Source organism: Homo sapiens, chromosome 8, assembly GCF_000001405.40.
Source record: "Homo sapiens chromosome 8, GRCh38.p14 Primary Assembly".
In the NCBI taxonomy this organism is placed as follows: domain Eukaryota; kingdom Metazoa; phylum Chordata; class Mammalia; order Primates; family Hominidae; genus Homo; species Homo sapiens.
Window position 1 is genome coordinate 42,623,849 of NC_000008.11, and position 15,172 is coordinate 42,639,020.

At 45.8% G+C, this 15,172-nt stretch overlaps 1 annotated feature.

Annotated features, from left to right (window-relative positions):
- Positions 14,602 to 14,781: an enhancer, noted in NCBI's record as "active region_27312". NCBI's record gives its function as "activates an Ori minimal core promoter by ATAC-STARR-seq in GM12878 lymphoblastoid cells {active_cell/tissue: GM12878}" and the evidence as "EXISTENCE:reporter gene assay evidence [ECO:0000049][PMID:35858748]".

The following is a 15,172-nucleotide window of genomic DNA, read 5'->3' on the forward strand; positions in this document are numbered from 1 at the left end:
GCTACTTGGGAGGCTGAGGTGGGAGGATTGCTTGAGCCCAGGAGGTCAAGGCTGCAGTGAGCTATGATCGCACCACTGTACTCCAGCCTGGGTGACAGAGTAAGACCCTGTCTAAACTAATAATAATAATAATAATAATAATGAAGAAAAAAAGAGAAAATGAAATGTCAAAGGGCATGGGGATGAAAGATGGTCTGCAGCTACCAGTACTTTCTGTTGTCAGTGAAAATAAATTGGTTTAGTTGCTAAAGATGAATGGATTCATCAAATTAATCTAGACAGGTGATATTCAAACATTTTCCAAACAAAATCCTATATAGAATCTCAATATAACAAAATGGTTATACTTCAACTGCCTGACCCTCTTGAGGCACATCTGAACTTATTCTGGTCCATTGTCTACAAACAAGATGAGTGCAAGTCTCCCCAGTGATATTCTAGCATGATCTCAGTTTTACTTTTATTACAGTGCTGCTCAAGTCTGCACCAACGTTATTATAAATTCCTTATGCTCATAGCTCTTGAACAGGTATAATAAGACAAATTTACAAAGTCAGTAAAAGCATTCCTCCCAAACCACTAAAATTTAATTTAATAATATTAATTTAATTTCCCAAATGATGTTTTGCTTAAATTAAGTGCTACTGGTAACATCAATATGAAAATGACTTCTCTGGAGAAGTTTTTGTGTGCGTTTGACATGCCTTTACTATGTTGCAAATGTATGAAATGAGAAAGAACTCAAATTTCCCACACCCTTTTCCCTTTAAAATTACTGAACAACCTTCATTTATGTGGGGCCTCATGATATTATTTGATGTGGATATTGTGGAGACCTCTTCATTTCCTTTCTGGGTATCTCATGAAAATTAAAGCAGTACTGCCTGACACCAAAGGGAAGGTAGACACAAGCAGACCCCCAAGCCCTAGTGCGGGCAGTAGCCCTCGTTCAGTAGCCCTATGGGTTCAGTGTTATTATTCTATTCTATAATTCAGATAGAAGCTTACATGCATTTATTTAGAGACGCAGTCTCGCTCTATTGCCCAGGCTGGAGTATAGTGGCACGATCTTGGCTCACTGCAACCTCCGCCTCCTAGGTTCAAGCAATTCTCCTGACTCAGCCTCCCGAGTAGTTGGAATTACAGACCTGTGCCACCACGCACGGCTAATTTTTGTATTTTTAGTAGAGATGGGGTTTCACCATGTTGGCCAGGATGGTCTCGATCTCCTGACCTTGTGATCTGCCCATCTCGGCCTCCCAAAGTGCTGGGATTACAGGCATGAGCCACTGCACCTGGCCCATTTTCATGAACATGAAAACACCAATAGATGGCTGGGCGTGGTGGCTCATGCCTGTAATCCCAGCACTCTGGGAGGCCCAGGTGGGTGGATCACAAGGTCAGGAGTTGGAGACCAGCCTGGCCAACATGGTGAAACCCTGTCTCTACTAAAAATACAAAAAATTAGCCAGGCGTGGTGGCACATGCCTGTAGTCCTAGCTACTTGGGAGGCTGAGGCAGAAGACTCGCTTGAACCTGGGAGGCAGAGGTTGCAGTTAGCCGAGATCATGCCACTGCACTCCAGCCTGGGCAACAAAGCTAGACTTCGTCTCAAAAAAAAGAAAACACCAATAGAAGGGAATAGACTTGAGTGGCAAAATGCTATTAGTGAATCCACGTGAAGGGTGTGTAAATGTTCTTGTTTTATTTTTGCAACTATTCTGTAAGTCTGAACTTTTTTGAATTAAAAAGTTGGATTGACCGGGCGTGGTGGCTCACACCTGTAATTCTCAACATTTTGGGAGGCTGAGGCAGGAGGATCACTGGAGGCCAGTAGTTTGGGACCAGCCTGGGCAACATAGGGAGACAGTATATCTAAAAAAAATTAAAATAAAAAAATTAGCTCAGTGTGGTGGCACATGCCTGTAGTCTCATCTACTCGAGAGGCTGAGGCAAGAGTATTGCTTGAGCCCCAGAGTTCAAGGCTGCAGTGAGCTATGATCATGCCACCACATGTCATATGATCCAACCTTGGTGTCAGAGCAAGACCCTGTCTCTAAAAAATAAATAATCCTTCCTGGGGGAGATAGTTGAAAGAAAATAATAAATAAATAAAATTAAAAATTTAGAAAAAAAAGACTGGGCGCGGTGGCTCACACCTATAATCCCAGCACTTAAGGAGGCCAAGGCGGGTGGATCACCTGAGGTCAGGAGTTTGAGACCAGCCTGCCCAACATGGTGAAACCCCATCTCTACTAAAAATACATAAATTAGCCAGGTGTGGTGGCGGGCGCCTGTAATCCCAGCTACTTGGGAGGCTGAGGCAGGAGAATCGCTTGAACCCAGGAGGTGGAGATTGCAGTGAGCTGCACTACAGCCTGGGCAACAGCGACACTCCATCTCAGAAAAATAATTTTTTTTTTAGAAAAAAAAATTCTTATAGAGGAGACCTCACAGCTCACAAAAATATGTCTATACCCTGCAGCGTGAGAAACAGTGATCTACTTCAACCCTTCATTTTATAGATTAGAAAATTGAGACCCAGTGAGCAGAAATGACTTCTGGGAACATTACAGTGCCAATTAGTGGAGAATGAAGATTAAATCTCAGTCTCCTTGTCCAACGCTTCAGCAGACTCACTGTGAATTGCAGGGTTTAGATCCCTACATTTCTCACAGGGTGATACCATGCTGTGAGGAATTGTGGAGGATTTCACAATCAACTTGTGTTTCCAGAATGCTCCTCAGCAACCTTGGAGAAGACACCAGCTTGTGCACCCCAAACACATCACAGTCATAATAAAGAGAGTCCACTGTGGATGGAGGAGAGACTCCACTCTGCCAGGAAGCATTTCGGTTTTTTTGTTTTGTTTTTTGAGACAAAGCGTCTCTCTGTAGTGCAGTGACATAGGTGCGTGCCACCATGCCTGGCTAATTTTTGTATTTTTAATAGAGATGGGATTTCACCATGTTGGCCAGGCTGGTCTCAAACTCCTGACCTCAGTTGATCCACCCGTCTCAGCCTCCCAAAGTGCTGGGATTACAGGTGTGAGCCACAGTGCCCGACTGCATTTCATTCTTAAACAGGAAAAAAACCAAACCTGTTTGTCCTTGTAGTTCAGCTACCACTCAATCCTCCTTTAGGCAGTAATACCTGAGGATGGACAGGGCCAGGGTTTGTGACCTAGGGCCACACCCATGCCCGGACCCACCTGAAGATACTTTCTATGCTCTGGGCCCTGCCACCAGCCCTGCACTTTAATTTCTCTTCAGTAAAAAGGAGACTACAACGCTTTAGGGAAAGAGTAGGAATTTCTATACACAGAAGCACTTGGAAAATTGGAGTAAGAAATAAAATGCAAAATGCTTTAAGAAACGCTCCTCATTGAAACCATCATTTTCCTCTAGGGACAGGCCTCTGAATCTCAGGTTAAATAACTCAGTAGCTGAAAGGTGTGATTACTGTCAGAAGGACTGAAATGTCTAAGGGTTGAAAAGAATTCATGAAGGGTTTGAGCAAATGCTCTTGTCTCTGTCCTACAGAGAGGGTCAAGTTTACGAGAGAAATCCAGGGGGAAACAGCAAGTCCTGGTTCATGAGAAACGGGGACACTGTGGGTATTCATCAGAGGGCATGACACACGGGGAGGGCTGTTCAAAGAGCCTTATTCCCCCTACCACAAACATACAGGACTACAAATATGTGGCAAAAGTGCGCTACCCTTTGGTAGCACACTTTGTAATAAAAGTCAACCTCTTCTGTAAGCTATAATCTAGTTCTTAAGAGTCTACACTTAGATTAGGTTGCAGATGAACCCATCTGACCACAAGCCTTAGAAGTTGTGCAACGTTTTCCACAAATGTTAGGTTCACAGTCCATTAGTAGGGTCCTGAGTCCTCACTGTGGTGCCAGCTCACATTCTGGTGCCTTGGGGAGAGTGTGGTGGTGGGAAATGAAAGTCTTTGAGCTGCCTGAGCAATTGGGAAACAAAGGTTGACGAGCAGTCTGACCAATCCCACTCCGTGTTCAGACTCCAGCTCCCTTTGCAGCACAGAAGAGACCAGCATGGCTGCTCCAGCCAGGGGCTGGAGGGGATGGGGCGGTGAAAGTCTTGCAAGAGCATCTCACCTAACAGAGTGGCTGGGCTGACCAGAAAGTTGGTTTCTGGCGAGGGGGTGCCTCTTTTAGATGTTGCTGTTCCCCAGAAGAGTCGGCTTCCTGCTTTTATTACTTGTGCCCATACCCCAGCCCCTGCCGTGATGTCACCCCATTTCATGGATGCAACCCTGGTCCCTCTGCTCCCCCTGCACCATTCCCAACCTGGATCTCCCATCCTGTCTGTCCCACACACACATGCACTGGGCAGCTCCAAGTGGAGTCTCTCAGACATAACGTGTCCCACGTGGAGGTCCAGAGCTCCCGCTGCACGTCTGCTCCTTTTGTGTGTGCTGTCTCATTTGAAGTCACCACTAGACACCTGAGCATCTGCTTTTGTAGTTTTAAATAGAATTGGGGTCTTGCTACGTTGACTAGGCTGGTCTTGAACTCCTGGCCTCAAGTGATCCTCCCACCTTGGACTCCCAAAGTATTGGGATTGCAGGCTTGAGCCACCGCACCCGGCCCTGAGTGTCATTCTTGACTCTTCCAGGCATCCTCAGAAGCATCCTCAACTCCCCTCCCTCCACCCTGCCTGTGGGTCTCCCACCTCTCCCCACACTGCAGCATTGTCCTACCCACTGCTCCCACCTGACCTTGTGCTCCTTGACTGTATTTCTCAGTGGCTCCTCATTGCCCAAGAAATGAAATGCAAGTTCTTCGGGACAGCAGTCACGGCCTTTCAGTCTGATTTCTGTCTCTTCTGACTCGACTCTTACATCCTGCTGAGGTGGCAGTGCTGGGATTCTGCGCGCCCACCGCATTGTTTCCAGGCAACAAGCTTTTTGGTTTTTTTGAGGCTTTCTCTGTTGCCTAGGCTGGAGTGCAATGGCATGATGTCGGCTCACTGAAACCTCCATCTCCAGAGTTCAAGCAATTCTCCTGCCTCAGCCTCCCGAGTAGCTGGGATTACAGGTGCATACCATCATGCCCGGCTAATTTTTGTACTTTTACTAGAGACAGGGTTTCACCATGTTGGCCAGGCTGGTCTCGAGCTCCTGACTTCAGGTGATCCGCCTGCCTCAGCCTCCCAAAGTGCTGGGATTACAGGCTTGAGCCGGCGCGCCCGACTGGCCACAAGCTTTTGTGTGCTTCCCTTTACACCTTCAGTGCCCTCCTCTGGCCTCGCTTTCTTACTCTGTCTGGCTGACTGCTGAAAACATTCTCTTAGACTTAGCTCAGGGGTTTGCAGCCCCTGAAAGTGGTCCTCGCCTTTCCCATTGGGTTGGATGAGGCCCCTCTGCACCCTCAGCCCCAACAACATGCCTGTTGCCTCACATCTGTCTTTGTTTTAGGATGATCTCTTCATGCCTACTGCATATGCTTATTTCTGAGCAGAGACCTGTGTCCTCAGTAGTCAATAAAAGCACATCAAAAATGTTTCCTGAATGATGAATAAATGACCTAAGTTTACCTTTTGGTCCTCAAAAACTATTTTTAAAACAAATATCCATAGTATGATACACTCATCCCCAGCAAGGGGCCTGCTAGGCACTGCTGGAGGGGAGGGGAGCTGGTGCTCTACCTCCTGCTTTGTGGTAGGGAGCAGCCTTGCAAGGGCTGAGTGGCACATTCTGCAGTGTTTACTCGTTCTATGAACTGAGCTCCCTCCTGGGCCTTAATCTCCTTAAAGAGAGAGCCTTGAATTAGAGGAAGTCTAAGTTCTCTTCATATTTCAAAGAATGCCATCAACGGAAGCAAAGTGGCTTTGCCCGGAGAATACGTGATGAATGATGAGCAGGGTACAGACCCTTTGGCTGTGGACACCCTCTCATGGCACCATAGTGTGGGATCCTGTTTAGAGCTGGGGGGATGTTTGATGCTGCTAGAGACATTGCTGATTGTTGGACTGGGCTGGGGAGGGGTGGGCACTACTGGCACGGATTGGCAGAGGCCAGGGATGCTGCTCAGAACACACAGGGCAGCCCCTGCAACAGAGAATGATCCAGCCCAGTAGTGCCGAGGTGGAGCCGCGCTCGGGGTTTAGCCCCCACCTTCACCTGGGAACTTGCCAATAGGCCCCAGCTCGGGTGACAGTGGCTTCATCTGCTGTACAAAACCTAGAGGCAAGCACACATGTGTATCTCCTGCAGACACTAAGAAAAGTCACTGTCCCTGGGCCACCAGAGAGAATGTGAAGCTGTGTTTGTGTTTAAGCCAAAAACTTCAGGATACTTACCTGTTCAGGATTTACTTGGGTAAATTTGTCCCGACAGCCACACTATGGTATCCTACCTAAATCAGGTGGAGGTAGGCAAGGTTGGTTCTGGACAAAATTCTGATGTAGTCAAATCCACTACCTCCACTCCCAGCAAACCGTCTGTCATTTTACTGGTTCCTGCCCATGAGGAATTCACAGTCCAGGGGAGGATGTACCCCTTTACTGACTATTTCGCTTTTTGCCCTGGAAATGTTTCCATGACGCCCTCTTGGGTGATAGGAATCCCTCTTTGGTCCCTTTCTCGCTCTCTCTCTTTTTCTTTTGAGAGACAGAGTCTCACTCTGTCGCCCAGGCTAGAGTGCAGTGGCACAACCTCAGCTCTCTGCAACCTCCACCTTCTGGGTTCAAGAGATTCTCCTGCCTCAGCCTCCTGAGCAGCTGGGATTACAGGCACACTCAACTAGGCCCAACTAATTTTTGTATTTTTAGTAGAGACGGGTTTCATCACAGGCTGGTCTTGAACTCCTGACATCAAGTGATCCGCCTGCCTTGGCTTCCCAAAGTGCTGGGATTACAGACATGAGCCACCGCGCCCAGCCTTTTTTTTTTTTTTTTTTGAGATGGAGTTTCATTCTTGTCACCCAGGCTGGAGTGCAATGGTGCGGTCTTGGCTCACTGCAACCTCCACCTCCTGGGTTCAAGTGATTCTCCTGCCTCAGCCTCCCAAGTAGCTGGGATTACTGGCACACACCACCATGCCCAGCTAAATTTTGCGATTTTAGTAGAGACGGGGTTTCACCATGTTGTCCAGGCTGGTCTCAAACTCCTGACCTCAGGTGATCTGCCCACCTCAGCCTCCCGAAGTGCTGGGATTACAGGCGTGAGCTGCTCCCAGCCGATCCCTTTCTCTTTAATTCCCTAGTTGTTCTTATGGTTCCCACTGCAGTATGTGGCTTAGTTATATGGTTTGGTGTTATCCATTGAAGCTTTCTGTGCCATATGCATGTCATGTTCTTAACTGCATTGCAAGCCCTTTAGAAGTTTCCGTGGCCCCTCAGTGCCTCCCATACCACTGAGTCTGCAGCAGAAATTCATCAAAAAGTTGTTAAAGAAGCAATTAGCTGGTGACAATAAACTAACGCCTGTTCATGCGACGCCTCGGACGTTCCTCATCAAGTTTATTCCTAGTGATCCCTTTGCTCAGCCCACTCCCCTTCTCCCTGCACCACTGCCATGTTTCAGTAACTCTGACAGTAGGAGTTTCAGACTGGGCAGGAGAAGCTGGGATTGTGGAAAGAGAAAGATGGCATAGGCCACCCAAGGTTTGAGGGCTCCTTTCCTTCATACTGGCCAGGATGGGAGGTTGACACAGGAGCACCTTCTAGACTTCTCCCACAGGCCCACGGGAAGAGGCTGGGCCTCTGCTCTTTCTGAGCCCCTTACACCGTTCTTGAAAGAGTAGCCAAAAGTGTCTGTGGCCAGGGAGAAGTGGTGGCAGGACCAGTTGATGGGAAATGGATTTATGGAATCTTCCTCCTTTCCGTGTCTCTCTGCCCATTTTTATCTTTCCAGGCTGATGTTCCAGTGGTTACTAACGTCTACTTGGACTAAGACTCAGGACTGTAACAGCTGGAAATGTTCATGGTCATGATGTGTGATGCTCCTGTATTTGTGATCTGTTGCTGTCAGATACTCTTACTTCCACAGAATATATACAATTTTCAGGACCACTACCCACTTTCTGAGTCTGTGAACACAGAATGGGAAGTGCTTTCAAAAACCACCTGGGTAGTGCTTTAGGCCTATGCTAGTCGAGATATGGACATTAAAATGACTATTTTCTATAACTGCTTATATTAGATAGTCACTCTTGGATACTGGCTCATCATAATTGAGGGGGTAGCAATTAATGTCAGCTCCCTGCCTTCACATCTTCATTAAGGCACATCTGCTAATTAAGATGCTTCCAATTCTAAGCCCTGATGGAATGAGTCCTTGAGACAACTCCAGAGACCTGGAGCCTGACCCCTGTTTTGCCACCAACTGGGAGCAAATCACTTTACCTCTCCAGTCCCCTTTTTCTAAAATGTGAGTGATTGCACCTGTGCTACCTGCCCCCAGGTGTGCTGTGAGAAGAAGCTGGGTACATGGCAGTGCTCCCTCGCCTGCTTTTTTTTTTTTTTTTTTTTGAGACAGGGTCTCGCTCTGTCACCCCGGCTGGAGTGCGGTGGTGAGATCATAGCTCATGGCAGCCTCGACCACACGGGCTTAAGCGATCCTCCCACCTCAGTCTCCCAAGTAGCTGGGACTACAGGCACATGCCACCACACCTGGCTAATTTTTGTATCTTTTGCAGAGATGGGGTTTTGCCATGTTGCCCAGGCTGCTGGAGAACTGAGCTCAAGCAATCCACTCGCTTCGGCCTCCGAAAGTGCTGGGATTACAGCCTCCTCCTTTAAAAAAGACCTCTTAGAACCACCTGGCTCTTTCCTTCTTGTAAACAGAGGCTTCACATGCATGTGTTCTGCACGTTCACCACAAGAGCCATGGAGAAAAGCACATGGGAGGCCCTGCAGGAAGAGGACGAAGGCCCCAGGCCAGGCTGCAACCCTCACTCCCTCCAGCCCAGCTGCCTTCCACGTGCAGGCTGTCCTCCTAGTCATGGTTCCCCCAGGCTCCCCAGGACGGCAGGCCACAGCTGCTGACTATTAATAGCCAATGTTCCATGTTCTCAAGGTGACAGAGAGAGGCATGGAAATGCCTATCCTGGCCCTCTCCCACCCCTCTACCCCTGCATCTTCCCACTCTGGCGCTTCCATTTTTTGGCTGGCAGCTGGGCCAGCTCACCTGGCCTCCCAGGCTCCCCCTGAGGCTGGGTCTTCTCCCCAACACTGGGCTCTCCCACGGCATTGCCCGCCAGCCTGGCTGGGATCCTGCATTGTGCTGAGGAGCAAGGAACTAAGGATTGGTAGGAAATAATATGCAATCCCTAGGGATTATGATAATGTGTATCTATCCTCAATTTAATCATAAGTATAGACAGTTAAATGCTAGATTATAGGCATCAGAAGTTGTTGATTGTTACTAAAAGCCAAGAGGGCAATACAATGTTATTCAACAGTACATATTCATTAAGGGAGAAAAAGGAAGTGCTTTTGAACATCCCCACTGCATATAATTTACTCTGATGAATACCCACAGAGTATGTATTTCATGTCAAATGCAAGTTAATTTTCCCTCTGGCTCTTTCCCATGAAGTTGCCACTAGGCCATAACTACTTAATCTTGACACCACTGGAGTTTCAGAAGGTCCTTACTAAATTATAGTACTGGAATAATTCCCTCTCACTCGGTCCCTTGCCTCATTCTGTCAGCTCTAGGTGTGGGTACTTTTGGCTCTGTTAGCCTCTCCACCTTTTATTCAGTCTTTCCTAGGGCCTTGCACATTGATGAATTTCTGCTGCAGACTCAGTGGTATGGGAGGCGCTGAGGGGCCACAGAAACTTCTAACTGCTTGCAATGCAGTTAAGAACATGACATGCATCCTCACAGAGTCATCTCTCTGTCCTATTACTTCCTCAACAACTTTTTCTGTGAGTCCCTTGTCTGACCTCCAGAGAATTCATTCTCATATCTACCTTATAGAAAAGCAAGGAAAAATAACCAGCAACGAACCCAGGCATGTTTGCTTAAATGTTTAACATACAAGTTTTAGGATTACCTTTCAACCCTATTCTTCAATATTTTCCCATTGCCTGTGGTCACTCTGGTTTACGTCTTAAACATGAATCATCCTCTTTTACTTGGAGATTCTGAGTCTCATCAATGATATCTACTCTGAAAGAGTACAGAATTTCGCCTTTTAGGAAAAGCAATTAATATTCAAGATGTTTAACTGAATTATTAAAATTTAATGAGATGGCATGGATGCTGGAAAATTATCTGATTATCTAATTGGGTGGGTCCCGCCTCTATCAAAGGCTGACCTCTGCTACCACATGTACTCTGGACCCCTTCTTGCCCTGTCAAGACCTTCCCTCTTGCAGCTTTCCCTTTTACAGCTTCCTCTATTTTGCAAGATTTTCTCTCTCTCCATTGGATCATACACATAAGCAAACATGCTCTAGTATCTATTGTCTTTAAAAATAGCAAAACTGAGCCAAGTGTGGTGGTTTGCACTTGTAATCTCAGCTACTCAGGAGGCTGAGACAGAAGGACTGTTTGAAGCCAGGAGTTCAAGACTAACCTGGGCAACACAGTAAGACCCCATCTAAAAAAAAAAAAAAAAAGCAAAACTGTTTTTGGAATACATGTTCCCCTCCAGCTATTGTCTCCTATTTCTTCTTGGTAGTTTGTCTTTATTCTGTCTCAGATTTCTCCCTTCCCATTCACCCCTTAACCCATAGCAGTTGGGCATTGGAAAATGTAGTCTCCAGCTGTTGGGCCCAGTTAAAATGCAAGGTGGTGTATTCTGTTACTAGAAGGACAAAGAGAAGAGCACACACTGGGAGACAGTCGGCTGTCTGCCATATTGCGTGGCTCCACAACACTCTAAGACCTTGGAATGCTTTAACTTTGAGCTACAGTAAACTATACATACATAGAACAAGGACATATATATGTATATATGGAGAGAGAGAGAAAGAGGAGAGAATATCTTTTTTGTCCTTGTTCTTGAATGATAGGTTATCTAGGTTGACAGTTATTTTTTCTTGCTTGAAAAATATTGTACCTCTGTCTTATGACTGCAAATGAGAAAGTTCTGCTGACACTCTGATTTTTATACCCTCATAGATAAGCTGTCTTTCCTCCCTGGCTGCTCCTAAAACCTTCTCTTTGTTTTGGTGATCTAGGTTCACAATGATGTGACCTGGGCTTCGTTTTTTGTTATTTAGCTTGAGATACACTTAATTCCTAAATCTGGGAATTTGTATCTTTCATCAACTCTGGAGAATTCCCTGCCGTTGAATGTTTGATAATTCTTCTTTCTTATGAAATTCCTTGTCACTGTGCTTCCAATCTTCTCATTCCATCCATCATCATATTTGTTTTTCTCTCCCATTTTTAAAATTTCTTTGTCTCTGTGCTGAATTCTGGGTAAGATCTTTATGTATTTTGCTGTTCATAATTTTTTCTGCCTTCTGTTTTCAACAAAATATTCTGTTAAAGCACAGTAAAGTCTTATTTTAAAATTTACATACACACATATGCACACACACACACACATGCAGACTTCAACGTTAAACATTTGTGCACATCAAGTTTCAGATGTTTATTTATTAATAAGGTCAAACCCGGAAGATACACCAAAGTGATTTTGTTCAGTTAAGGAGAAAATATCTTCTAAGTAGAAAATTGTGTGGATGGCTTCTGAAGACCTTCATTCTAAGCAGCTTTAAATAAAAACAAATTTTCTTTTAGAAGTCCATGGGAACTCTAGGGCTAGGGTCATCCTTTCTGTCCTACTGGACACAGGGTGGACGTTCCTTCTGTCCCACAGACACCCAGTGCCGCTGCAGGACCCCAGCTCCAAAAGGACACAGATCCAGCTGGATGCTTCTTAGCATAAACATTCTCGAAGGCAAAAACCTGAATTTTCCAGGCCTAGGAAATGATTGCCTAATTCTTTCAGTTGTTTTTTTAACCTATCGATTGAGTTTTTAATTTCCATTATTTATTTTATTTTATTTTTAGAAGTACTGTGTTTCTTTTTTCAAGTCTGTTTGATCTTTTTGATACTATCTTCTCTTTTTTGGGGTAGGGGGTGGGTGGGAGACAGAGTCTTGCTCTGTTGCCCAGGCTAGAATGCAGTGGCATGATCTCGGCTCACTGCAATCTCTGCCTCCTGGGTTCAAGCAATTCTCCAGCCTCAGCCTCCCGAGTAGCTGGGATTATAGGTGCCTGCCACCAGGCCCAGCTAATTTTTGTATTTTTAGTAGAGATGGGGTTTCATCATGTTGGCCAGGCTGGTCTTGAACTCCTGACCTTAGGTGATCCGCCCACCTCAGACCCCCAAAGTATTGGGATTACGGGCATGAGCCACTGCGCCTGGCCTGTTTTTTGTTTTTTTTGTTTTTTTTTTTTTTGAGACAGGGTCTCACTCTGTCACCCAGGCTGGAGTGCAGTGGTTTGATCTCTGCTCACCGCAGCCTCAACGTCCCGGGATCAAGCAATTCTTGTGCCTCAGCCTGCCAAGTAGCTGGGACTACAGGTGTATGCCACCATGCATGGCTAACTCTCTTATTTCTTGTTTATGTGTTTTAATCCCTGGTATTTTTTTAAACAGTGTAAACAGGATCATTTTATATTCCATATGGGATAATTCCACTATCTGGTGCCCTGGGGGACCTAGCTCTGTGGTGGTCATTTCTGTTGCCTCTTGCTCATGGTAGCTTGTTCACTTGTATGTTTGTGACTGGGGCTGTGAGCTCATGGCCTTTGGGCTTTGTGTGTGGAATTTTGAGAGGCTTTGGTTGAGTGCGCAAACCTCCAGAAAGGATTTACTTTTAACTTCTGCCAGCTGCCCTCAACCCAAGACCACTCTAAGTTAAAGTTCTCAGCTCTGGGGTTTCTGGACAGCTCAGGTGATTTAAATTCATTCCCCAAATCCATGTGCCAGAAGGCTAACATTATACATTTTCAGGGGCCTTTTTCCCCTGCACCTAGAGCCAAGGCCAAAGCAGATACGCTTCTTTGTCATGATCGTGCTGCGGTGTGGAGTTTTTCGGGCCCAACTTTTCACTGAGCGTGGCAAATATATGTGATGCAGCTCATTTCCAGCTTCCCAAATTATATGGACCCAAGGCCTTACCTCATGAGGCCATTCAAACTCAGGGCCTTGGAAGCTGAGAATGGTAAAAAACTCCTTCATAGGGTCTATGGACAGAGGCTGTCAGACCTGCTTACCACCATGGTTTCCTGGTCTCTTCATTTCCGACTCCTGAGAATTGCCCCTGCTGCCTTGAAAGTGCAGTCAAATATTTTTTTGAAAAAAAAAGCTTAAAAAATTATTGTATTCAGGCTGGGCGCGGTGGCTTATGCCCGTAATCCCAGAAATTTGGGGGGCCAAGGTGGGTGGATCATTTGAGGTCAGAGGTTCCAGACCAGCCTGGCCAACACGATGAAACCCTGTCTCTACTAAAAGTACAAAAATTAGCCGGGCGTCGTTGTGGGTGCCTGTAATCCCAGCTACTCGGCAGGCTGAGGCAGGAGAATCACTGAAACCTGGGAGGTGGAGGTTTCAGTGAGTCGAGATCATGTCAGTGCACCCCAGCCTGGGTGACAGAATGAGACTCCATCTCAAAAAAAAAAAAAAAAAAAAAAAAAAAAAAAAAATATATATATATATATATATATATATATAGTATTCAATATTTTTAGATGTTTTATTTAGCATTGCTTTAGCAGGATATCTACTCCACCTTATTAGTGGAAAAGGTAGTTTTCTCCCATATTCAAAAATCACTTACCCTTAGGAAAAAATATTTTGCAAAAAAAAGAAATATTATCATAACCAGAAAAAAAAATTGGCTGGAAGTTACCAAACCCAGATCTATAAATGTTGCTTACATCTTGGACTGCTCTAGAAACCCAGACGTGGTAACAGGGATGCCTGAATTAGGCTGCATTCTATTTAGGCAACTTTATCTTATATAATTTCACATATGTATCTTTATCTTTGCCTCCCTAATGTGAATTGTATTCTAGCATTGATGTAATTATACGAGCCAAATGGAAGACTAGTTAAGAAATATACATGATCAGGCCAGGCAGGGTGGCTCATGCCTGTAATCCCAGCATTTTCGGAGGCCGACGCAGGTGGATCACTTGAATCTTGGAATTTGAGACCAGCCTGGGCAACATGGCAAGACCCTGTCTCTACAAAAATACAAAAATTAGCTAGGGCTGGGCATGGTGGCTTACACTTGTAATTCCAACACTTTGGGAGGCCAAGGCAGGCGGATCACTTGAGGTCAGGAATTCAAGACCAGCCTGACCAACATGGTGAAACGCCATCTCTATTAAAAATACAAAAAGTAGCCTGGCATGGTGGCATGCGCCTGTAATCTCAGCTACTCGGGCGGTTGAGGCACAAGAATCACTTGAACCCAGAAGGCAGAGATTGAAGTGAGCCGAGATCATGCCACTGCACTCCAGCCTGGGTGATAGAGCGAGACTCCGTCTAAAAAAAAATTAGCTGGGCATGGTGGCACATGCCTGTAGTCACAGCTACTCAGGAAGCTGAGGCAGCAGGACCCATTGAGCCCAGGAGGTTGATGCTGCAGTGAGTCAAAAATCACACCACTGCACTTCAGCCTGGTCAACAGAACGAGACTCTGTCTCAAAAAAGAAGAAAGAAAGAAAAGAAAGAAAGAAATATACAGGATGAAAGAAGGAAATGTTATTACTAAGTAAGAGAGTGAGTTGTGTTGGGTGGCTCGAAGATACCTGGTGTGTTTGATGTCACCGTGATGTAAAAGATGGACATCTGGATGGTGAGTGTGCTAAGCAGGTCAGGCCCACTCTTCGCCAAATGTCATTGTCTCCTAGAAGAATGATTTGCATGGAATTGCTGGTGCGTGATTGTCCCACCACAGCACACACCCTGTGACCCTGTGGTCGCCTAGGCATGGAGAGCCACCTCAATAAGCACACCCCTCAATTTCCATAGCACGCATTTACCTAAATAGCTAGTTCTCAAAACCTGGACCACTGACCTTGCAAAACAGAAACTATTCAAGCATAGAAATAGCAGTGGAGTTCTCAAGCACAGCACTAAGTTTTCTGATAAAAAGCTACTTTATTTTGGCTGCTGAGAACTTTTGCTTAAGTGTAGTGGCGGGGCCTTGAGGGAACA